Source organism: Homo sapiens, chromosome 13 (genome assembly GCF_000001405.40).
Source record: "Homo sapiens chromosome 13, GRCh38.p14 Primary Assembly".
Taxonomy (NCBI): Eukaryota; Metazoa; Chordata; class Mammalia; order Primates; family Hominidae; genus Homo; species Homo sapiens.
The window spans coordinates 21,600,881-21,624,692 of NC_000013.11; the positions used below are offsets into that span (position 1 = coordinate 21,600,881).

Sequence of the window (23,812 nt, forward strand, 5' to 3'; positions counted from 1 at the left end):
CCGCCTCCCAGATTCACGCCATTCTCCTGCCTCAGGCCCCCGAGTGGCTGGGACTACAGGCGCCCGCCACCACGCCCAGCTAATTTTTTGTATTTTTAGTAGAGACGGGGTTTCACTGTGTTAGCCAGGATGGTCTCGATCTCCTGACCTCGTGATCCGCCCATCTCGGCCTCCCAAAGTGCTGGGATTACAGGCGTGAGCCACCAGGCCCGGCCGGACATATTCACTATTATTATAGGGCCGCGTCAGGAAGAGTTTACCAACTTGGAATACCAATGTAACTATATTAATGCATAAAATTCTATTGCAATGAAAGATTCATCACAAGCCAAAATTCTGGTATATATCTAGCTCAACTATGCACACCTGTCCCTAAAGTAGTGGTAGTAGGCCCACTTCTTAGGGAAATGTATCAAAATCACTGAGGCGAAGGCAAAGTTTTCAACCTATAGGTCCTCTCAATCCTTCCTGTATTCAGCCACTGATGCTGAAAGGAATGTCCACCGTGGTGGCAAAAGGATGAGAACCACTGTCTCGGTCCAATAGCAGATCAGGCAAATGCTATGCCAACAGACCTTATAAAACGATTGATAATAAAATGGTTTCTGTATTACTTTAGCTAAGATTAAACTTACAAAGCTGCAGGGAAGGAGAGCTGAGAGTTGGGAAGAGAATCCAAAATAACTACACTAGTGTGAAGCTTTTAGAATCAAGTCAGGGATTTCAAAGGAGAAAGATTAGAAGTGGGCCAGAAAAAAAAAAAACAATTAGATGGATAAGTGAAATCAAGAGTCTACAAATTGCAGCTGGCGGGTGAGCGGTATTTAAGTCTTGTTCTAGGGATAGTGAGTGAATCACTTTAGTGGGAAGGTGCCTGAGTAGTGTCAGGTCAGAGTGTGACTATAAAAGGCTCTGAAAGACAAAGTTTTAAAATGTGCATTTTGGCCGGGCGCTGTGGCTCACGCCAGTAATCCCAGCACTCTGGGAGGCCAAGGCAGGCGGATCACGAGGTCAGGAGATCGAGACCATCCTGGCCAACATGGTGAAACCCCGGCTCTACTAACAATACAAAAAAAAATTAGCTGGACGTGGTGGCGTATGCCTGTAATCCTAGCTACTTGGGAGGCTGAGGTAGGAGAATTACTTGAACCGGGGAGTTAAGAGGTTGTAGTGAGCCGGGATCACGCCACTGCACTCCAGCCTGGGTGACAGAGACTCCATCTCAACAACAAAAAAAAAGTGCATTTTACTCTTGGCAAAATGAGACACTGAAGAAGGGTTTCTGAAGAAGGGTACACTGTGTGGTTAAAGTGATACTCCGGAGAAGATTAACCTAAGGGTCTTAAAAACAGGATGAATCGGCCGGGCGCAGTGGCTCACGCCTGTAATTCCAGCACTTAGGGAGGCCAAGGCGGGCGGATCACGAGGTCAGGAGATCGAGACCATCCTGGCTAATACGGTGAAACCCCGTCTCTACTAAAAACACAAAAAATTAGCCGGGCGCGATGGCGGGCGCCTGTAGTCCCAGCTACTCGGGAGGCTGAGGCAGGAGAATGGCGTGAACCCGGGAGGCGGAGCTTGCAGTAAGCCGAGATAGCGCCACTGCAGTCCGGCCTGGGCGACAGAGCGAGACTCCTCTCAAAAAAAACAAAAACAAAAACAAAAAACAAACAAAAAAACCAGGATGAATCTAGGGGAGAGAAACTAATGATGAATACACTGAACTCCTTGGCACAAGATTCACAAAAATGCTATAAAAACACTAGATAATAGATCTTTCCATTATATATGTTTACAATATAATTATAATGTATGTTAATACAAATAAGGAATATCAGTTGCCAATACTTAATTTTAACTCACAAGGCCTTCTTTCCTCTCTTTTTTGTTGTATCTGAATGTTCCTTGAGTTTTTCGCTAGAAAGGCATAATGTAAATCTAAAAAAGAAAATAATAAACTACTACTTTCAATTTTCAAAAAAGCTCATATGTAAAAACTTACTAAGTCTACAAAAATTTTAAAGCACTACTCATTCAAATTTTCAAATGCGTTACAACATCATTTATCCTGAAATAGGGAACTTGAATCTTTTTTTTTTTTTTTTGAGACGGAGTTTCGCTCTTGTAGCTCAGGCTGGAGTGCAATGGCTCGATCTTGGCTCACTGCAACCTCCGCCTCCCGGATTCAAGCGGTTCTCCTACTTCAGCCTCCCGCCACCACACCCAGCTAATTGTTTATATTTTTTAGTAGAGACCGGGGGGGCGGGGCTGGGGTGGGGAGCGGCTTCACCATGTTGGCCAGGCTGGTCTCGAACTCCTGACCTCAGGAGATCCACCCGCCTCGGCCTCCCAAAGCCCTGGGATTAAAGGCGTGTGCCACCGCGCCCGGCGGACTCTTGTCTTTAATAGATGGAGGTTTTAGGAGCAATTTTTGCTTAGAACTTATGGTCCACTAAGATATTAAGGTTTATAATCATGCAATAATGTTCCTTAAAGTTGATAATAAAATCTGGAAATCAACTGGTTAATTTTTGTGGCTGACACATTCGTGACTTAAAAAAGCAATCGACAGAACTTCATCATGCTATACAAAGAAAAGATCGTAAAACTTAGTTGCAAAGCTTAACAAAGGTATATCCCACAGGGGTAACTGGACGCAAACCACCTGCGGATGTGAATGCCACTTCACTGACCAGAGAGGTAGCAAGAGGCGAGGCGCAGTGAGATTCTGAATTAGGAGCCTCGAATTAAGACACGCCCACACTCATCACCACTAAATTAGTGCGGCCAGTTTTGTGGGCCGTGGTGTTCAGCGTCCGCGGGGTTCTCCCAAGGGAGGCAGAATCTCCGGTCACCAGCCTCGAAGGCCCTCGGGGACTCAGGCCGGGGGCCGGTCCAGGAAGGAGCGAGTCCCACCAGTCGCAGGGCGCTCCGATCCGCAGCGGCACCTCCACCCACGGCTCCGGGAGAGCCGCCCAGAGCCAAACCACTCCCCGCCTAAGGGCGTCAGGGGAGGGAGGAGCTTGACTGGGGCTAGCAGAAGGAGTTAGTCCTGTACCTGTGCGGAGACTGTAAAACTGCCATCCCGCGCCGCAACACTGACGCGGCTGTGGTGCCAGGCCGCTCCTGCTCCTGCCAGGGCCGCGCCGGCCACTGCCGCTGCCAAGGGGCCGGGACTCCGCACAGCCTGTCGGCTGACAGCGAGCCCCCGTCGCAGTTTTCCGCCCCAGGCCGCCACCCGCGCGCAGCTACCCGCAGCCGCCGCCATCTTTGCGGAAGCGCAGCTAGGCGGCGCTTCTCTCCCGGCGCCGCCGCCTACCGCTTGGGAACTCTCGCGACATCCGACAGGCTTCCGCCCCGCCTACCGGGCCTGCGCCGTGGGTGCGGTTGCTGAGGCGACGCTCGCAGCCGCAAGAGGTGGCCTTCGGTTCCGGGGCTGCCTTCTAAGGCTGTGGGGATGGGATGACAGGAAGAGTATCAAGACAGTATAATATGACTTCCTAGTCCAAAACAAGATAGTGCCCTCGGTTGTGTGGGCAGGTTTCTCCTTTTCATTTTTTCACCTTGTAAAACTGTGAAACGTTTTTTGAAATAGTCTCTTCTGCATCTGTGTTGTTCATGTCTTCCTATGCTTATAGTCTTGACTGTTCTTTCATTTCTGCTAAAACAACTCTCAGACAAGGCATTCTGTTTATTTCAGTCCCTCACTATTTGCTTATAATGAATTTAAATTCAGTTTCAACAAAAGGTTTGATAGTAGCTCTTATCCTACCTAGAACTAAAAGTCAGAGACAGCAGCACACCAGCCCCATGTCTCTATCATCAGGGACCCAGAGGTTTTCCCCAGTGCAGATTTAGAACGATACCTCCAGTCCTGGCTGTTGCATTGGTGATAAGTGATGTAGCTGAGGCAGACTACTTGGTTTTATTTAACAGCCTCCAATCCTCCATTCTTTGGTCTTCACTTTTCCTGAGTAACTCTTTTTAATAAACTCTTTGTTCAGCCTCTGAAATGTCCCCAGCTATTAGAAGCTTTAGTTGGGCATGCAGTAACGGAGCCAACATCAAAGGGGCCAAGACTCCTAATCACATAATCACTGCTGTCTTGAAGTTTTGCACAAAACAAAACTTCAAGAAACAAAAACAAAAACCTGTCACACGAAATCTAATTTGATCATTCAGTGGAAGTTCCGTGGATCCCTTTGTTATTATCTGCCCTTAATCCTTGCTCCCTTTCTCTTAGCCCGCTTGTCTAAATTAATCTGCAGTCAGAGGTTCCTCACTTTTCCGTCAGCTTCTGGACTTACTTTTCAGTGTGCCTTCCCAGGTAGGAAGTAGAGAGATGAGCCTCACTTCACCGACTTGTGAGCCAGACCTCAAGGTTTGAATCTTAGCTCTACCAGGATGATCACTGTGGTTTGGGGCAAATTATTTAATCTCTCTGAGTCTCCATTTTCTCATTTGTAAATAACTCACGATTTGGTAGATGATCACTGCTATTTGGGGTAAGGTATTTAATCTCTTTGAGTCTCAATTTTTTCATCTGTGAACAACCCTCTTACAGTTTGGGGTGGGGAAGCTAAATGAGATATTTTATATAAAGTGACTAGCCAAATGCCTGGCACATGGTAGGCTCATGACAGATGTGCGTTTACTGTGGTCAAGGTTTGGTTTACTTCTGCCCTGTGAACACAAATGAGCTTGACTGAATGTCCATGATTCCAGATCACTAGCCCATCTTAACCTGAGATTTTCCTGCTTTTTTGTATCTAGCCTGACTTTGTCAACCTCTGGACTGTTTTTCACCTCTGCTAACTCTGGTAGCTTTGGCACATGTCCTGCTTTTCTGGACTATTGACATCTAGCTTGTTTCCTGGTGATAATAGGACTTCCAGGATATTTTGGACACCCTGGATGTCTTACCTTGTAGTTTATTCTTGATTTCCAGAAACCACAGTCTTTACGTGTATACTTCTAACTGCCTCACACAGTTCCTCTAGGTATTTAATGAAACCTGGCATCTATTACTCAGTATTGCCTTAAGCCCAAGATAAGTTTAGATTCCCATTAAAACATGTAGCATATTTAAGAACATTGTCTTTCTCCCACAATTTGACATCCTTGTGGGTGAGATGTCTTCCTTTTCCCTGTTTCTCTAGCACCTAGCACAATGCCCAGCACGTAATAGACATTCAATGAGTGAGTAAATAAGTGAATAAATAAATGGCACAAATGAAACTCAGGGGTTCATATTTCTATGCTTTGGCCATCCAAAATACAGAAGTATATTATTCCTTTGGGGTACTTTATTTTCAAAACAAAAGCTTCTTTTTATTTTGCCAAAAATCTTTGAACCCACTTGGAAAACAGTGTAATTAGTTATTTTTTAAATTTTCATTATGTGCCCAGGCATCTAGAACTCTCACTTATAATTTAATGTATTCAAACTTTTCTTATGCAGAGGAAACAAATTCTTATAATAGAACCAATCTCTAGTCGAATAACCATTCTAAGTATGAAATCTTCCTTGGCAGCTGCTGACATTTGTCTAAGCACATTGACTATATTGGTCTTTTTGGGCTCCAGCTTTGTTCATTTCTTCATCATCAGCTGTAAAGTCCTGGGCTGGGATGTATTTTCAACCATGCAGTTTATAAACCAACCCCCAAATAAGAAGCTGCTTCTAAAGCTGTACATTGTATGCTGTTTTAAATAACTGGACGAAAACAGGATGGAAATACTTATTGTTTCAAAGTATTCTTAATTCACTTACTCCTGCTCTTTTTTTCTGAAGAAGAACGAAAGTGATATGTCAGAAAAACTGCTCTTAAGGAGCTTTATTTTCACTGGAGAGGCTAGGCTTGAATTTCAAAACAATTGTCTCTGACTTTTATACTGTACAGAGAAGCAAGGGTGAGGTGGGCTGGCACAGGCAGAAAAGCATCTAGGGAAGACAGAAGACTTGATCTGGAACTTGCTGGGGTCTGAGGCAGGGTGAGAGCCTGGGGGAGGGTGCATACAGTGTGTGCTGACAGGCTTGGTGCAGAAGGGCTAGCTGGGGACTGGCTTGGAGTGTCCTGAGGGCCAGGCAGGGGCCACACAATGATCTCCAGTCTGTGGAACAGTTGTCAGCCCCCTTGACCCTCTGCACATTTGTCACTGGCGTATTCATGCTTCCCTTTCAGCGTCCCCACCCGCCTTGAGGCTGAGCTCCTCTTCTGAATCTCAGATGCTCCACCAGTGTATTTCTTCTGCTTGCCCGGACTTTATCCTGGCCTTTCTTAGCCGCTATCCACACGCTTCTTCAAATTATTGTCCTTTTTACTGACAATCAAAACTTCGATTCCCTCTGGGTTACTGGTCTTGAACAAAAGAGGTCAACTAGTTTTTTTACTGAAGATATCTACTCCTTTGTATTTCCATTTTAGAAGAAATTATTAACTCAAACACATCTTTGATCTTAGCATGTGTGGGGAGAAAAACAAAAATTGCTATTGGATTCTGAAAGATTGTTTACTGCTCTATTCCAGAATAATGTGCACTGAGACAGATTATCTTAGGTGGAGGAGAAAAAATATGGGAGATCTCAAAAGATTAGTTAAAGAGGTTGGACTCCTATAGGAATGAAGTAAAAAGCATATGCATGGATATTATAAAGAACCATTGCTTGGAATAGTCAGAGGTTGAACTATATTTATGGTGGATAATTGTGTAGCAGAGGGTATGAATCACTCTCAGAGGCCCTAAATGAGTCAAAAGAACTGCTAATTATGTCTTTTTGTGCAGTTTGGGGCCATGAGTAAAAATATCTGGGTATCGTGATTGATACCAGCATGTGTAGAAATAGGTTAAAGTGAAATCTTACTGACAGTGAGAAAGCAGTGCCCAGAGGAGCGTTTTGTATGTCTTTCAGATCCTCGTCTGCATCTTATTACCTTCCCTTCCTCGCAGTGCAGCTCCCATTACCTTGCCCTGTGATTATTGTGACCATCTCTTAACATGTGCCTTTGCTTCGTCTTTCTCTTCTCTGAAGCATCCCACAGATCTATGTTAGATCAATCTTCCTAAAACATTTCTTTCACCATACATCCATTAGCTCTGTGATTTACCCTTCCTAAGCCTCTGTCTCCCAGTTGGAAAATGAGGAGATGGGTTTTGGTTTATTTTTACACTTCTAAAATTCTTTTTGTATGCCACTCCGAAGTGTCTTTTTTTTCTGCTCAGTTGACAAACTGTATCGAATGTGAAATATGTGCCAGGCATGGGACCACACGTTGGAGACAACAAGCACAAATAGGATAGAGCTTCCTGGGCACGGGCTGTGGTCTCACACATTGGCTTATGCCCTCTATGCTGAAAACTTTTAAAAGTATGTAACCTGCCATTTATGTATGCTTATTTCTTAAATCTACACATTTACAACTAAATGTTAAAAGCCACATAGTAAGAATGTAAATGGTGATGTAAAGATGAATTAGTATTTACAAAATAAAATTGTATTTTTATTATTAAAGATGCAATGAATGTTTTATTCTAAAACTGTTAGTATTTTAGTGAGATCTATGTGATTAAATTGGCTTCATTAACTTGGAAAATGCTGATTTAGGTTTTATGAGATAGAAGGTCTGGTATTATGTTGAGTTAATTTATACATTAGTTTTTGATGACTGTCATAGCTCAAAAAGGTACCTCACAAAAATATATTAATCTGAATGGAGGGAGTGACTGTACTATTAGTTGAGGTAATGAAACCATTATACTTGTCTTTTTTTAGCTTTTTCTTATGAAAAATTCAAATATATATAAAATTAGACTAGAATGATGAGTAGAGCTGGACTTCCACAATTACAAACTCATGGCCAGTCTTATTTCATCTCCACCTTCTCCTTTTCCCTCAGTTAGATTATGTTGGCATAGCCCCCAGGCTCATATAATTTTATTCTACATATTTTATTATGTATTTTTATTTTTATTTTTTATTTTGTGTGTATGTGTGCGTGTGTGTGTTTGAGACAGAGTCTCACTGTGTCATCCAGGCTGGAGTGTAGTGGCGCGATCTCAGCTCACTGCAACCTCTGCTTCAGAGGTTCAAGCAATTCTCGTGCATCAGCCTCCCGAGTAGCTGTGATTACAGGCGTGTGCCACCTTGCCTGGTTAAATTTTGTATTTTTTGTAGAGATGAGGTTTCACCATGTTGATCAGGCTGGTCTCAAACTCCTGGCCTCAAGTGATCCTCCCTCTTCGTCCTCCCAAAGTGCTGGGATTACAGACATGAGTCACTGTGGCCAGCTCATTATGGATTTTTAAAAGATGAGTGCTCATAAAAAGAAAACCCACACACCAATATTTTGTTTTTGTATTTCTTAATAATGCTTATAATCCAATGGAAACAAACATTTACTGAAGAAAAAAAGTTGTGTAAATTGCTGAAAATGCTAGGAGGCTGGGGGGACACTAACAGAAAGAAGATTAAAAAGTCTGTTGTATGAGTGTTGTGTAACACTTCCACATCTCAGGGAGAGGGATCTGTGTTCTCATAAAGTACACTTACGAAAATTAGTGACAGCACAACATTTGAGGTTGCAAAAAAATATTTTTTCTGGAAACACGTTTATGGAACAGATTGTGTATGTCAGAAGAATTTGATTGGTATTTTAAAATCCGTTATAATATCTCCAAAGTTCGGTGTAGCCCACCAAAGGAGACAATTCACACTTTCTTTCCTTTGCTCCTTTTCAGCTGTAAAATGTACATCTCAAGCACATCAAAGATGGTGACAGAGAAGAGTTAAGAAAGACAGCACATCCAGAGGAGCAAGGGACAAGATCTAAATAATTTCATGAAATGTTCCTTGATCCCAAGATTTCTGCAGAAATGTTCAAGTCTGTGATGTGTATTCTTGTGCATTGAGACATCCAGAATTTAATAGCCTGTTCTTAACTATGCAGAAGACCAAGCCACTAAGTAAATGCAAATGCTTTGACATTTTTATTGTTTCTTAAAAACCCAAATGAAAATTTCAATTTCATCTTTCATTCCTTTTCCCCAAAGCCAGTCTGCTGGTTAGCTGTCTTTAGTCTACAGCACGGTGTGAACACGTGGTGTCGGCACCACCACCCAGAGGCCATCAGCAGGGCAGGAGGCTGGGCATCTGGCAGCAGGATCTGGCTTTTCTCCAGAGCTTCTTTCTCCAATTGACTGGGTTGCCCTGAGTTTCTTTTGCACTTCCGAGACTTGGATACACTGAGATGGTCACCATTCAGTGGCTCTCATAGACAATGACCTTATGGTCTTGTCTCCAGCTAGAGACAGTGGAGACCTGGCAAGGAGGGTGGAGCCAGGTATGACAGGTAACTCCCAGGTGGGCAGGCCTGCGCCTTGCACACAAGCAGACTGGTGGCCGGGAGTGTTGGTGACTGCTGCCACCTGCTTGGCCTACAGGCGGGTGATACCACAGCTTTGATTCATTCGCCTCATCACTTCCTCTGGCCACAGCCACAGTGACCTCTTCCAGTTGTGAGGACTTCATGGCAACCTTTGGGTGTTGAGAGTTTCCTGGGAGTGCTTCAGATGGGGGCAAAGACCTAGGGGCCAGGACGTGTTTGGCAGAGGCAAAGAGCTGTCTCACAGGAGCTCCTGCCATCGGTGGGCGCTTCACACGTGAAGCCCAGACACCGGGACTGTGGGGTCCGCTGCAGAGCTGTACCTAGTTTGGGGGCACCTCAGCCTGGGGGCTTCCCTAGGCAGAAGCACCAGCCAGGTAAGTGAAAGGGTCTTCTGGGCTGCTTGGGGAAGTGGTGACCACGGAGGTCCGTCTTCCAGGAGACGGCCACAGGATGCACGGGAGGTGTGATCTGTTTCCACCCAGGGCCTCTTAAGGGTGGGCGCCAGGCCCAAGAGGTCCCCTGGCTTCCTGGGGTGCCTGAGGCCTGCGGGCTGGTGGCTGGCAGGGCTGGGCCACTTCCCAACCTGCGGACCTGTGCCAGAACCTGGGCGGGGTTCTCAATGAGGAAGCACCCAGACCCCAAGAGTGTGCACTGGGCCCTGGAGCAGGCCGGCCAGTGGGTCGAGCAGGTGCAGCCCCAGGTGCCGGGGTCGTGAGAGGTGAAGCCTTCCAGGCTTCTGGGTCCGGTGAGGACTTGGAGAACTTTTACATCTAGCTGAAAGATTGTAAATGCACCAATCAGTGCTCTGTGTCTATCTAAAGGTTTGTAAATGCACCAATCAGCTCTCTGTAAAATGAACCAATCAGCACTCTGTAAAATGGACCAATCAGCAGGACGTGGGTGGGGGCCAAATAAAGGAATAAAAGCAGGCCCCCCTGGAGCCCATCACCGCAACCAGCTCAGGTCACCTTCCACATTGCGTAAGCTTTGTTCTTTCGCTGTTCGCAATAAGTCTGATTGCTGCTCACTCTGGGTATGCACCACCTTTATGAGCTGTGACACTCACTGGGAAGGTCTGCAGCTTCACTCCTGAAATCAGCGAGACCAGGAACCCACCAGGAGGAACGAACAACTCCAGATGCGCCGCCTTAAGAGCTGTAGCACTCACCGCCAAAGTCTGAAGCTTCACTCCTGATCTTTAAGAACTAATACTCACCGCGAGGGTCTGTGGCTTCATTCTTGAAGTCAGACAACCCACCAATTCCGGACACAGTCGCACGCTGGGTGAGGAGGCAGTCGCTGCGGTGCTGCGCGTGGGCGGTCCGACCTGCTCTCACATAGGGGCCTGGCGGGTGCCAGGCATGGCAGGGAGGGTGCTGCTGGGGTGCCCCACACTTCTGACTGCAGGCCCGAAATATCCTCTTGGTATTCCTATGACATTTCCGTCCTCCACTTGGGGGGCGTTTGTCTTCTGAAGTCTTCAGACTCTTTGACGCCATCGAATGAAATGAAAAAGTGTTTCATAGCCACATTCTGACTTATTCCGGAGTACTGTAAAGACTAGATACATTAGCCATTTTATTCTTACAAAATTAAACGGTGGTGGTTTCTCAGTCTCATCACTGTGGACACGCAGGGACAGAGAATTTTTTTTGTTGTTGGGGGTGGGGGGCTGTGCTGTGAACTGCAGGGTGTTTAGTGGAATTCCTGGCTTCTACCCACCACATACCACCTGCCAGTAGCACCCCCACTCCTCCCTGCCTCAACTGTGAAAAGCAAATATCATGTCTCCAGATGTTGCCAAATATCCCCCAGGGAACAAAATCACCCTCAGCTGAGAACCACTGCCCTAGAATGTCAGCTCCAGGAGGGCAGTCAGTTTTGCATGTTCTGTGCATCCCTAAATCTGTGATGCCTACAGCAATGCCTAGCCCTCAGTAGGCACTTAGTAATTACTGCTTGAGTGAATGAATATTATCTTAGTGATTTTATTACAATGGGAAAAACCTGTTGTAATAAAACTCCTGTTTTTTCAATGGGGTTTGTGAGTTTCTCACTTGGGACTAATGAATATGCAAGCTGAGTAAAATTTTGTCAAGTACTGGATTGAATATTCCTGAAAAAAATGTATTTGTAGAGGCTGGTCTTCATGCTTTGGATAGTGGTATTGAGTTCTTACTCTGGCTTCATACCATTAATAGTTAATATCTTAGGGCTTAATGTACATTTAGGATTAGGCGCATTATTAATGATAGTGGATATAAATCATTTTTTTCAAATTACCTTTTTTGGGGACTGATTTTGTCTGATTAGATAGTTGTTTCTATCTTATAATAAAGCTGGAGAGCAGAAGCATGAGCCCTGCTAGTTTGTTCTTGTTCACTGGCATTTTAATATTTTAGCATCATCAGTCTGTAGAGTTTTCGCAGGACTCTTTTAAAGCCAGATATTGGCCAGGGACGGTGACTCAGTCTGTAATCCCGGTGCTTTGGGAGGCCGAGGCGGGCGGATCACCTGAGGTCAAGAGTTCAAGACCAGCCTGGCCAACATGGTGAAACCCTGTCTCTACTAAAAACACAAAAAATTAGCCGGGCATGGTGGCAGGTGCCTGTAATCCCAGCTACTCGGAAGACTGAGGCAGGAGAATCGCTTGAACCTGGGTGGCAGAGGTTGCAGTGGGCCAAGATCATGCCATTGCACTCCAGCCTGGGTAACAAGAGTGAAACTCTGTTTCAAAAGAAAAAAGAAAAAAAATCCAGGTATCCATTCTCATCAGGCTTATTTTCGTTAACACTAGATAATATAACTGGTAAAACCACCTAACTGGGTGCACAGAAACTGCAACCCTTAACAATTTATTGAAAGCTCACGGTCAAGTAACGACACCTCTCATGAATCCTTCAAGTCACAGAACTTACGCTCTTTTGTCTTGCATATCATGACATGAGGTCATCTTACTTAGGGCCTATATAATATATATAGATATAGTTCTTTTTTTTTTTTTTTTTTTTTGAGGTGGAGTTTTCTTCTTGTCACCCAGGCTGGAGTGCAATGCCTCGATCTTGGCTAACTGCAATCTCTGCCTCCCAGGTTCAAGCGATTCTCCTGCCTCAGCTTCGTGAGTAGCTGGGATTACAGGCACCCACCACCATGCCCAGGTAATTTTTGTATTTTTAGTAGAGGGTTTCATCATGTTGGCCAGGCTAGTCTCAAACTCCTGACCTCAGGCGATCCACCCACCTCAGCCTCCCAAAGTGCTGGGATTACAGGTATGAGCCACCATGCCCAGCCTATAGTTCTTAAAATATATATATAATATATATGTAATATATTATATATATATAATGTAAATATTTGTTGTTTGATTAAAATTAATGCGTAGAAGTTTTAATATTTTGTTCTCATACCATTAGTTTATCCCATGTGGTATGACACTCCCCTTTAAGAACCCCAGGCTAGTGCATTTTCAATCACATCCAATCTCCACAGCCTGGCATTCTCAGTTGTGGCAGAGACAGTGTTATACATTCACCAAATCTCATTTTATTTTCTTTTTCTGGGGCACACGGAAGATATATTTCCCAGCTTCCCCTGCAGTGAGGTGTGGCCATGTTCTCACACTCTGGCCAATGGCATGTGAGGAGAGCTGACTGTGTCCATTCTCAGCCGAAGTAGCTAAGAGCCAATGTACCTTCCTCCATGCCCCGCCTCTTCATCTTCTGCAGGGCTCTTAGAGGCCATGCATGCCAGCAGGCATAGCTAGGGTAGGTCTCTTGTTGACGGAGAGCTGCTGAGGAGAAACACACAATCTACATTTCACTGACTTTCTTGTGTTAAGAGACTGAGATTTTTGTGGTTGGTTGTCACAGCAGCTGGCATGGATTACCTTGACTAATACACTGGCTATCTATTAATATTCCCTATGTAAATTCTCCAATGCAGCTCTCAATTATTTACTGTCTATCATTGCCATCACTTTGAAGAACATTGTACAGCAAAATGAAACCCAATATTATATTATTAAAAGACTGTTGTTGAGGCTTTAGTTCAGTAAGCCATATTGTATGCCCTGATAAGAATCAATAGGGGAAGTTTCTCTTAGTTCTAGTGATAATAAAAGACCCCTCACCTTGTACCCAGCCTGCTCTTTTGGACACTCTGCATCTTGGTTGTGATCATGTTTTCCTCAGTTCTGACTCTGTGGCTCATGTCTAGTAATTGTGTGGGCTTTCTGATCTGCATTATTCTAGTTTTCTACCTTTGTTTTCCTGCGACACCACAATTTCTTGCTAAAAAATAAAAACAATTCCTTTTTTAGGCGTTTATTCAAATGTCTCAAATATTTTTTGGTAAAGAAGCTGATATAAAGATATTTTAAAATATGTAGACTTTTATCATTTTGTTTTATTTATTTATTTTTTTGAGACGGAGTCCTGTGCTTCTTGCCCAGGCTGGAGTGCAATGGGGGGATCTCGGCTCACAGCAACCTCTGTCTCCTCGGTTCAAGCAATTCTCCTGCCTCAGCTTCCCGAGTAGCTGGGATTACAGGCACCTGCCACCACACATGGCTAATTTTTTTGTATTTTTAATAGAGAGGGGATTCCACCATGTTGGCCAGGCTGGTCTTGAACTCCTGACCTCAGGTGATCCACCCTCCTTGGCCTCCCAAAGTTCTGGGATTATAGGCATGAGCCACGGCGCCCGGCCAATAATTTTTGGATTGTCATATTTTTCAGTTAGGATATTATCTTCTTGAGAGTTTGCAACATGTTTTCTAGATTTTTGGTAGCTCTCTTCATAATTTTTAAGAATTATTTATTGGTTGATTGATTAATAAAGATATTAGTATATGTGTTGATTTAAAGTGTTAAATTTAAAATGGAATTAGATGAGACTAATGGAACAGGAGAACTTAGGAAAGGGGACATTATAATACTAAACAATTAGAGAGCAGAAACAAATCTATAGGTGTATTTAGATGGTGCACACATCTTTTGTTACATATTTTCTATATTTCAGTTCAAAGGATATCAGAATGTATTACAATCATTTTGTAAGAAACATTTAATTTCTCATTCAAATGTATAGATTGAGAAGCACAATAACCTAAGATATTATTTAAGCAGAACATAGTGCTCACGAATTTCATTAAAAATCTTTTAATAAAGTAAAAGGAGAAAAGCAGTGAGATAGCACATGTGCACATGCAAAATTTTTTATTATAAGAATTGTCTAAGTATATTTCCCCCTAGTGCAAATACCGAAATTATCATAGCTGTGGAGAAACACATACTGACACACGGTATTGTGACTTTTTTCCAAAGATGATGGCAATGATGAATGACACAGCACTGTAAGTGCAGATAAGGACATGACATTAGCCCTATCTTAAGGCTGCCAGTATTGGATGGGAAGGCAGCTCTGCATCCTAAAGGCCACCAGTCCATACAGAAGGTGCTGTAAACCATTTCCATCCTTCCCTAGAGATTTGTGATGTTCCCCTGGGACAGGCTTTGAAAAATCACCATGGCTGTGGGTCCTTATTAACCAGCCACTCCTCAAAGAGCTGTCTGCAGCTTCAGAAAGATACACAGTGATTGAAAGCATAATCATTCTGAATGAATATTCAGAAAACATAAATATATATGCTGATGTATATGTATGTGTCTAACATTCGCTTATTTGAGGAACAAATAAATGCTTATTTGAATTTGTTGGTATAAAATACCTTTTTGTCTATGGTAATACAGTGTGCCCAGAAGGATGAAAAATTCAAGAATAAAGTAAAGTACTATTCATCCATATATAATACAGTATTATATCGTATAGTATAGATCTGAAGCATTCTTGGAAAAAAAAAGAAAAAAAAAGAAGGTAGCTCTTTGTCAAAATTTCACAGTGCTTCTTTCTGAAGCCTTATCAAAGTTCTAAATCCTTTTTTTGGCATGTGCGAGGGTCTTCAAAAATACTTTCTTCAGAGATCAAAATTCTAACTTTCAGATTGGGTTAAATACATTTTATAATTCATCCTGCAGCTGTTGGAGCTGTAAGGAAGTAAAATGAGAATTGCTTTTTAGGGTATATTTCTCAGCAAAGCAGTTTTGAAAATGAAACCAAATCTTCATGCTCCACTTGACATTGGAATTTAAAGTTATTTTTACAAGCTCCAATGCAGTAGCTATGTGAAACATTAAAGACTTATTAGAATATAGTAAGTTAATAATTAAAGCAAGTTTTCTTCTAACAGTTTGTTCAATAAATAAAAGCCACGAATACAAATTATATCTTGTTATCAGCTTTCATGCCTTTTTTTCATATTTACGCTTAAACCAAACCACACATTTTCTTGTGTAAAATGTTTCCTCCCTTTTAATTATAGCCTGATTTGCTGCCTCAGCAGGTAGAGCTTTTATTAACTTGAAAGTGTATTTGGTGCAAGTGGGAGATGTGGAAGCAAACCCTTAAAGGAAAATCACATTTTCCCTGAAATGCAGTGTGGCATCTAAATATAACCTTTACTATGTCCCTAGAATATTGAGGGATGGGAAAATTTTCAGGAATCCCTATCGGGGATAGATCTGCTTTCGATTTTACAAAAGAGTGACTGTATGGAGTCACTGAAACCAAACAGGAAAAAAAAAAAAAAAAAAAAAAGAGGAAAAAAAGGCTTCACATTGAAAGTAAAGGCCAAGAAAGAAATAAGCCACACAAAAGTGTGAGCAAAGGAAAAAAGTGTCCATCTTTTTTGTTTGTCTTTGACTGGAAAGGCCTTTGACCCTAGGCAATACTGTGCAGTGAATACTTTTGTCCTTTGTCATATTTTACTTCCTCCTTTCATGACAACCCCGACAAGTAGCCTGTGTACCATTCCTGGAGGGTCTGGCCCGGAGCTGACAACTAATCCCTGGTAAGGTCTATATAAAAGGCTCTTTTCAGAAAAGGGTGACTTGCATCCCTCCACTGACTGCAAGGACACAGGCTGAAAAGACAGCTTAAAGATCGAGGGGTTTAGGTTCATTTACAGTCAAGACTGTTGAATATCAGTTCCATGTGAATTCTGGAAGTCTTTAAAAATGAGAGAACTTCTCACATGTCTGAGACAGCTTAAATCTTGACTTTAATCTGGGGCAGCAAGGAAGACTAAAGTGGTAGCTAAAGTGCAAATTCTGGGTAACCTTATCATGCTTAAAGGCAGAATTCCAATGTCAGGCTTTTTTTATATACAAAAAGTTGTTTGAGGTCTTATCATTCCTGTTTTGTAAAATTCTAAAGAGCTGCGAAGCCCAGTTTGGGAGCAATTAGTAGAAAAACCTCATGTTATATATTTAAATGAATAATAATTAAAAACAAAACCAAAATAACTGAAACTGAACAAAAATAATGGCTTGCCCAACAGACAATGACAGAGTCAAAAACAGAAAATTCAGGTTTCCTCGTATCAATTTAGCACCCTTCCCATAACAACATACTACTTTTCAAATTCAAGTTACAGCAAATTAGCTAGTTGATGAGCTTTTTACAAATAACTAAAACATTCCATTAAATACAGTACAGCTGAGGACCAGCCTATCTTTCTAATAAGCACAGATATTTACTGGAATCAGTGTGGAAAATTCTGACTAGTTTAGATCAGTGCTTTTCAATACTGTAATGTGCAAACAAAATAACTTGGGCACCATGTTCAAATGTAATTTCAGGTTCTGTAGGAATAAAGTGGAGCTGGCATTTCTAAGAAGCTCTCAAGAGTTTCTGATGCTGCTAGTCTGAGGACCACTTCAAGTAGCAAGAGTTTAGACTGAGAATGGAGGAGAATGGAGGAGGTGTGAGTAGTTTTCACCTTAGGCAGGTGACATATACAGTAGGAGATGAAACAAATAAGCAAAAGTAAGATGACACATAAATATATCCTAAACATCTGATTTTTACATGTAAATTATTTCTTTGTGAATGATGGATTTTTTCCCAATTAGATGGAAGGCCCCTCCCGGTCAATACCTTTTTCATTTTTTTACAGGGTGTCTAGAAAAGCACAGTTAAGAAATGCCACCTGACGGACATGATCATAGATCACTGGAAATACCAGATGAAAATTCCAGGTGGAGCCTGGTTAATTCATTCTTGTGATAGAATTCCTTTCAGCAATGGATTATCCAAACGACTGGGTTGTGGGTTTCTTTGCAACTTCATTAATTCCCCAAGTATTTGCCACTTCAGAGGCAGCATAGAGGCAGGCAATCTCTCTGATGCCTGGGAGATTCTGCAGATTTCAAGGCCAATGGACAGAGTGTCTGTAGATAAATGGCTGTGAACTGTCTCTGGTTAGACCAGAGTCAGGGTAAGGAAGCAATGAAAAAGACTAGAGTTTCCTCAAAAATAGTTAAAAGCTGCGCTGTCCAGTAGAGTAGGCACTAGCCACTTGTGGCTTTTTAAATTCTAATTCATTAAAATTAAATGGAAAGCTTAAATCAAGTTCAGTAGTCTCACTAGCTACATTTTAAGTGATCAATGACCACATGTGGCCAGTGCCTGCTGCATTGAATGGCACAGATACAGAACATTTCCATCACCACGGAAAGTTCTACTGGACAGTGCCGCTACTCAGGGAGACAGAAAGGATGAAAGCTTGATTCCAGTGGTGGCTGGAAGTTCTGAAGAATGTTTAACTAGGCAGCGGTTGCTCTCATGACAGCATGTAAACTGGAGTAGGAAGCTAATGGAATGGGCAGGTTTAGACTGGGCAGTAAGGGTCTTTGTGTACAGGGGAGGGAGAGATTCTCATGGTTGGCCAGGGATAATGAATGGCTCAGTACCTCAGAGCCTCTGACAATTAATACATCTTCTGTCTATTGAAAGGCAACTTACGGCTGGGCGTGGTGGCTCACACCTGTAATCCCAGCACTTTGGGAGGCCAAAGTGGGTGGGTTACTTTGAGCTCTGGAGTTCAAGACCAGCCTGGGCAACATGGTGAAACCCTGTATCTACTAAAAATACAAAAAAATTAGCTGGGCTTGGTGGTGCACACCTGTAATCCCAGCTACCTGGGAGGCTGAGGCTGGAGATCACGCCACTCTACTCCAATCTGGGCAGCAGAGAGACACTGTCTCAAAAGAAAGAAAGGCAACACACAAATGATGAAAAGGTAAAGTACGGGGAAAAACAAAGAAAGATGAAACATTACTTGTTCACATTATAACCCATATTTTTGACTCACATTTTCTATGAGCAGTGGGTACACACCACCTTACCCCGCCAATCCTTCCTAGAACCCAGCCGCTCAGGAAAACATTCTATCCACCTGAGCATATAGTGCTTTCTGCAGTGCTGTAGCCTAGTCTACTTCTTTATATACCTTTTATGGTGGGTGCTCTACTCTTAGATTTTGTGGCTCCGCCTGTGGTAGACATCTGCTCTTGAGTTACTCAGCTCAGCCTGTGAAATCTTACTTTTGTGCTCAGGGATCAGGATCAGAGGTTCTGCTTTTATGTCTTATGACATTTTCTGATAATTGTTTCCATTCATTCATTCAACAAGTATTTTTATTAAACACCTACTAGATACCAGACATTTGCTGACTCTTCTATTTTCTTCTCTTCTTCAGTGACAGCTTCATTGTTCTGGTTGAGATTTAAACATTAATAAAATGAAATTGCAAAGCCAGAACTTAATATTACAAAATATGTTCTAAGTAGAGCAAACCACATTGTTTAGAAATCTGGGCCAAATGGATTAACATCTATCTCAGGAGCTGAGAAACTTGTATGGCTTTATGCTGTGGTCTAAGATCTCCTCTGAATACTCAACATCCTTAAGTCCCTGTATCAGTTTCTTAGGGTTGCCACACAAATCACCACACACTGGGTGGCTTAAAGCGACAGGTATGTATTTTCTCACAGTGCTGGAGGCCAGAAGTCTGAAGTCAAAGTGTCAGCAGGGCTCTCTGAGGGCTCGAGGGACGCGTACCTCCCTGCCTCTTGCCAGCTCTGCAGGTTACTGGCCCTCGCTGGCGCTTGCCTGGCCTAAGCTGCATCGCTCCAGTCCCTGCCTCCCTCAGCAGAGGGCTGCCTTCTCTGTGTGTCTGTGCCCAATCTCCTTCTCCTTTCTCTTAAAAAGATACCCGTCACTGGATGGAGCTGGAGGCTATAATTGTAAGCGAATTAACACAGGAACAGAAAACCAAATACCACATGTTCTCACTTATAAGTGGGAGCTAAACATTTAGGACACATGGACATAAACATGGGAACAACAGACACTGTGGACCACCAGACACGGGAGGGAGGGAGGTGTGGGTTGAAAAACTACCCATCGGGTACTATCATCACTACCTGAGTGCAAAATACACATGTAATAAACCTGCACATGGACCCCCTGTATCTAACATATAAGTTGAAATTAAAAAAAAAGATTCAAAAAAAGATTAGAAAGAAAAAAAATGCCAATCGCTGGATTAAGGTCCATTTTAATCCAGTAGGACCTCATCTTGGCTTGACTGCATCAGCAAAGTGGATTACATCTGACTCATTTCCAAATAAGGTCACATTCACTGGTACCAGGGGTTATAACTTGAGCATATGTTTTTGGAGGACACAGTTCGACCCACAACAGTTCCCTCAAATATATATACAGACTATACAGGCAGGTCATTGATTCCAGCCCTGATACAAGTAGTAAGGAAGCAGGACAGCAGAGAGAGGAGAGCGTGAGGTTTAACAAGAGAAGAAATAACATTACTCTGACCCTTGGTCCTTCCAGCTCCTCCAGGCAGCAGATGGGATGAGCCGTGAGGAAGATCAAAGACAGTCTGGGACCAGAGGGCAGAGTGATGAGCACACTAGACACCAAACGGGTCATAAATCACTTCTGGTCCTTTTAAGTTGCTTTTTGTGCCTTTTATTTTCTCCCTCCACTCTTTCCTACCACTTGCTTCTTCTCTCTCTGCCCTCACCATTCCATTTTCCATTCAGTCTCTCTGTCATCCTCATTCTTTGAGCCCCAAAGCAAGGAAGAAATACATTATGTGATCAAAGAACTTCCAAAGGACATTTACGTTTCCCCATTTGATTATCAGTACTTTATGAAATTTCATCATTTATGAACAAAACAACTCGAATGCAGCATTTTGAGGACAAACTGTAGAGCAGGTTTGTAAAGTTCTTTGTGCCTGATGTCAACCAAGGTTTGCTTGAGCCAGTTTTCTTAAATCTTCCATCCTGTCTTACTCATTTCCAGAGTACATGGTAGCAATGTACAGTATCTTATCAACCAATATATAGACATAGAAACAAATTAAGAAAACAGGAAGGACATCTCTTAACATTTCTTAAAGGGTTGGCTCATGTTACTGGTTAATCTACCCTGATTTCAATGAGACTTTTGGTCATTCCTATTACAAATATTTATAATATGCCCACTATGAACAAAGGATTTTGCTACCATGAGTGGATGATACAGAAATAAATAAGACAGTCCCTGCTTTCAAGAAGTTTGCAGTTTTGGGAGAAATATATAAACAACTCTTACATAAGGTAAAATGGGATAAATGCTGCAAGAAAGGTTCAAAGTGTTTGGGATATATTTGAGAAAGAAGGGATTAATTATGACTGGGAGTGTTCTTAGAAGAGGTAATAGAGTTTGTGTTGGGAATTCAAAAGTGGCAAGTACACCGATAGTAGACATTCCTCAAAAGACGTTACCACTAGAGCTACTTGAGCAAAGCTGCTGAGGCAAGACAGAATAGACCATATTTTGGGAGAACACCAACAACTGTTGAGTGTGGTTCAAGAGAAGTGTCATGCAAGATAAGGCTGAAAAGACGTTTAAAGATCCAAGAGTGAAGCACTGTGCTTTGAATTCTATGTTTAGAGGCGAATCACCAAAGTTTCTAATTGGAGGATTAGGAGATCAGTTAGAAGGCTGTTGAAATGGTCTAAGAGTCCAAAAATGAAGAGTTGACTGAGGACAGGAGCAGAGGATGTGGTGAATGGGGAGCCCGGAGGCATAAGGTAGAGGTAGAATCAAAAGGTCCTGGCAGGTTATGGGATGTTGAAGATGAGGGAAACCACGGAGCAATTAGAATCTTGGCATTGCTTTGCCATGAACGAGGAAGGGCCCAGGGAGGAGCAGCTTTATGAAGGGAGAAGAGATGGGGTGAAGAAGGGAGAGTGACAACTTCATTTTGGTCTAGTGGTATCTGAAGCTTATTATTATTATTTTTTGTAATCAGAGTCTTGCTCTGTGGCCCAGGCTGGAGTGCAGTGGTGTGATCTTGGCTCACTGCCACCTCTGCCTCCCGGGTTTAAGTGATTCTCCTGCCTCAGCCACCTGAGTAGCTAGTACTACAGGTGCCCGCCACCATACCCGGCTAATTTTTGTATTTGTAGTAGAGATGGGGTTTCACCATGTTGGCCCAGGCTGGTCTCAAACTCCTGACCACAGGTGATCTGCCTGCCTCGGCCTCCCAGAGTGTTGAGATTACAGGCATGAGCAATGGCACCTGGCCTCTGAAGTATTTTTGTAATAATGATGTAGGGAAGTCCAGCAGGTAGTGAAAATGCATTTTTGGAATTTTGAAGAGCAGTCAGGGTTAGGTTCTTAGGCTCAGAGATGAAGAGTATTAACTAAAGAATGAAGTTTACAAAGAAAGGGGATGACGAGCTCTTTTTATACTATAGAAATACTATATTATTGGCTGGGTGCGGTGGCTCACGCCTGTAATCCCTGCACTTTGGAAGGCTGAGGTGGGTGGATCACGAGGTCAGGAGATCGAGACCATCCTGGCTAACATGCTGAAACCCCGTCTCTACTAAAAAATACAAAATATTAGCCAGGCGTGGTGGTGGACGCCTGTAGTCCCAGCTACTCGGGAGGCTGAGGCAGGAGAATGGCTTGAACTCAGGAGGCAGAGCTTGCAGTGAGCCGAGATCGTGCCACTGCACTCCAGCCTGGGCGACAGAGCAAGACTCTGTCTCAAAAAAAAAATAAATAAATAAATAAATAAATAAAAATAAATAAATGCTATATTATCCACATTTGAAGTAAATTTATTGTATTGGGAGACACAGAAACAAAAGCATTAGCATTTACTAAGCATAACTGCCTAAAGAGGAAAAGGTATACAAAAAGGAAAAACATTAATAGGGTAAGAAAAGACTTAAGGATTCTAGGGAAAGAAGTATGTATCACCCTCAGGGCCTAATTGAAAGAAGTATTTGATTGAAGGATGTCTCATTATTGGGGGATTTAAAATTTTCTAATGGGTCATTGAAATGTTGTATAATATATTTACACAAAAATTTGGATAGGACAGATTACAGGGCTTTCCAGGCAGCCATTGAACTGGAAAAATACTTTTACCTGCTATAATTAAGTCCTTCTAATCAAGTAAAAGACATTTCTAGTTATATGTAATTTGACTATGATTTCCCCAATGGTTGCCCAAAATGGAATGGGCTTCATTGGGAGGCCTTACATTTTCCACTCAGGAAATGTTCAAGAAAAATCTGATTGGCCATTTGTTGAGGATATTTCAAAAGGCACCCCTACTCTGAGTGGGAAGCTGGCCTCAGTGACACCCTGAATGTGAGAGGTTTCCATGTTGTTTCCAGGATTGGTTGCTCAGGACTGTGTCAGGCACTGTCTATAAGAAGCTGGTTACTGTTCTCTGACAATCCTGTTGTTAATTCTCATGGAACCCAAAGTGGAAAGGACCACAGAAAATTGTAAATAATTAGTGCCTTTCATCTTTCCTCATGATTCTTATTTTTCTAACCTTTTTTTAAAATTTGAGACGGAGTCTTGCTCCGTTGCCCAGCTGGAGTGTAGCGGCATGATCTCGGCTCACTGCAACCTCCACCTCCTGGGTTCAAGCCATTCTCCTGCCTCAGCCTCCCAAGTAGCTGGGACTACAGGCACACACCAGCATGCTCAGCTAATTTTTGTATTTTTAGTAGAGATGGGGATTTCACCATGTTGGCCAGGATGGTCTTGATCTCTTGACCTCGTGATCTGCCCGCCTTGGCCTCCCAAAGTGCTGGGATTACAGGCGTAAGCCACCGTGCCCCGCCAATTCTTATTTTCTAACCCTTTAACGTTTTCAGTTCCTGGGTGTGAAGAATAAGAATGAAAACATGTTTTAATGGATGTTTTACTTTGTTTAAATTTTGAAAGGGGCCATGAAGAGAAGATTTATTTTTAAACAATATCTTTGAAAGTGCATATCCCCCTTTGCATGTGTCTGCTTTGCCTTCAACTTTCCACCCTGCTGTGAGTAGCACTAGAGCTGAGCCGATGCCCCTTGAACTTCGCAGCCTGAAAAACCATGAGCTAAATAAACCTCTTTTCTTTATAAATTAAAAAAAAAATGTTGAGCCAACTTTTTGGGTTTAAATGAAAAAATTATCAAAGTATGTTATCATAGTTGACAACTT

The 23,812-nt window shown here is 42.7% G+C and overlaps 1 protein-coding gene across 4 annotated transcripts in view, besides 4 other annotated features; it reads right to left on the bottom strand.

Annotated features, from left to right (window-relative positions):
• Window positions 1–3,290, bottom strand: part of MICU2 (mitochondrial calcium uptake 2) — a 111,480-nt gene extending 108,190 nt beyond the window's left edge. For 3 of the 4 annotated variants that reach the window (NM_152726.3, XM_047430143.1, XM_047430141.1), the window contains exon 1: window positions 3,059–3,290. In NM_152726.3, the coding sequence (NP_689939.1) occupies window positions 3,059–3,268 (210 nt within the window). In that variant the 5' untranslated portion in view covers window positions 3,269–3,290. Of the gene's footprint in view, window positions 1–1,863; window positions 1,939–3,058 lie in introns of all 4 variants that reach the window. The other variant, XM_047430142.1, reaches the window with a different exon arrangement.
• Window positions 2,384–3,003: an enhancer, noted in NCBI's record as "H3K27ac hESC enhancer chr13:22177403-22178022 (GRCh37/hg19 assembly coordinates)". NCBI's record gives its function as "activates a minimal SCP1, AML or CMV promoter by ChIP-STARR-seq in primed H9 embryonic stem cells {active_cell/tissue: H9 hESC(primed)}" and the evidence as "EXISTENCE:reporter gene assay evidence [ECO:0000049][PMID:30033119]".
• Window positions 3,004–3,622: an enhancer, noted in NCBI's record as "H3K27ac hESC enhancer chr13:22178023-22178641 (GRCh37/hg19 assembly coordinates)". NCBI's record gives its function as "activates a minimal SCP1, AML or CMV promoter by ChIP-STARR-seq in primed H9 embryonic stem cells {active_cell/tissue: H9 hESC(primed)}" and the evidence as "EXISTENCE:reporter gene assay evidence [ECO:0000049][PMID:30033119]".
• Window positions 3,024–3,233: a silencer, noted in NCBI's record as "silent region_5164". NCBI's record gives its function as "represses an Ori minimal core promoter by ATAC-STARR-seq in GM12878 lymphoblastoid cells {active_cell/tissue: GM12878}" and the evidence as "EXISTENCE:reporter gene assay evidence [ECO:0000049][PMID:35858748]".
• Window positions 3,404–3,473: an enhancer, noted in NCBI's record as "active region_7439". NCBI's record gives its function as "activates an Ori minimal core promoter by ATAC-STARR-seq in GM12878 lymphoblastoid cells {active_cell/tissue: GM12878}" and the evidence as "EXISTENCE:reporter gene assay evidence [ECO:0000049][PMID:35858748]".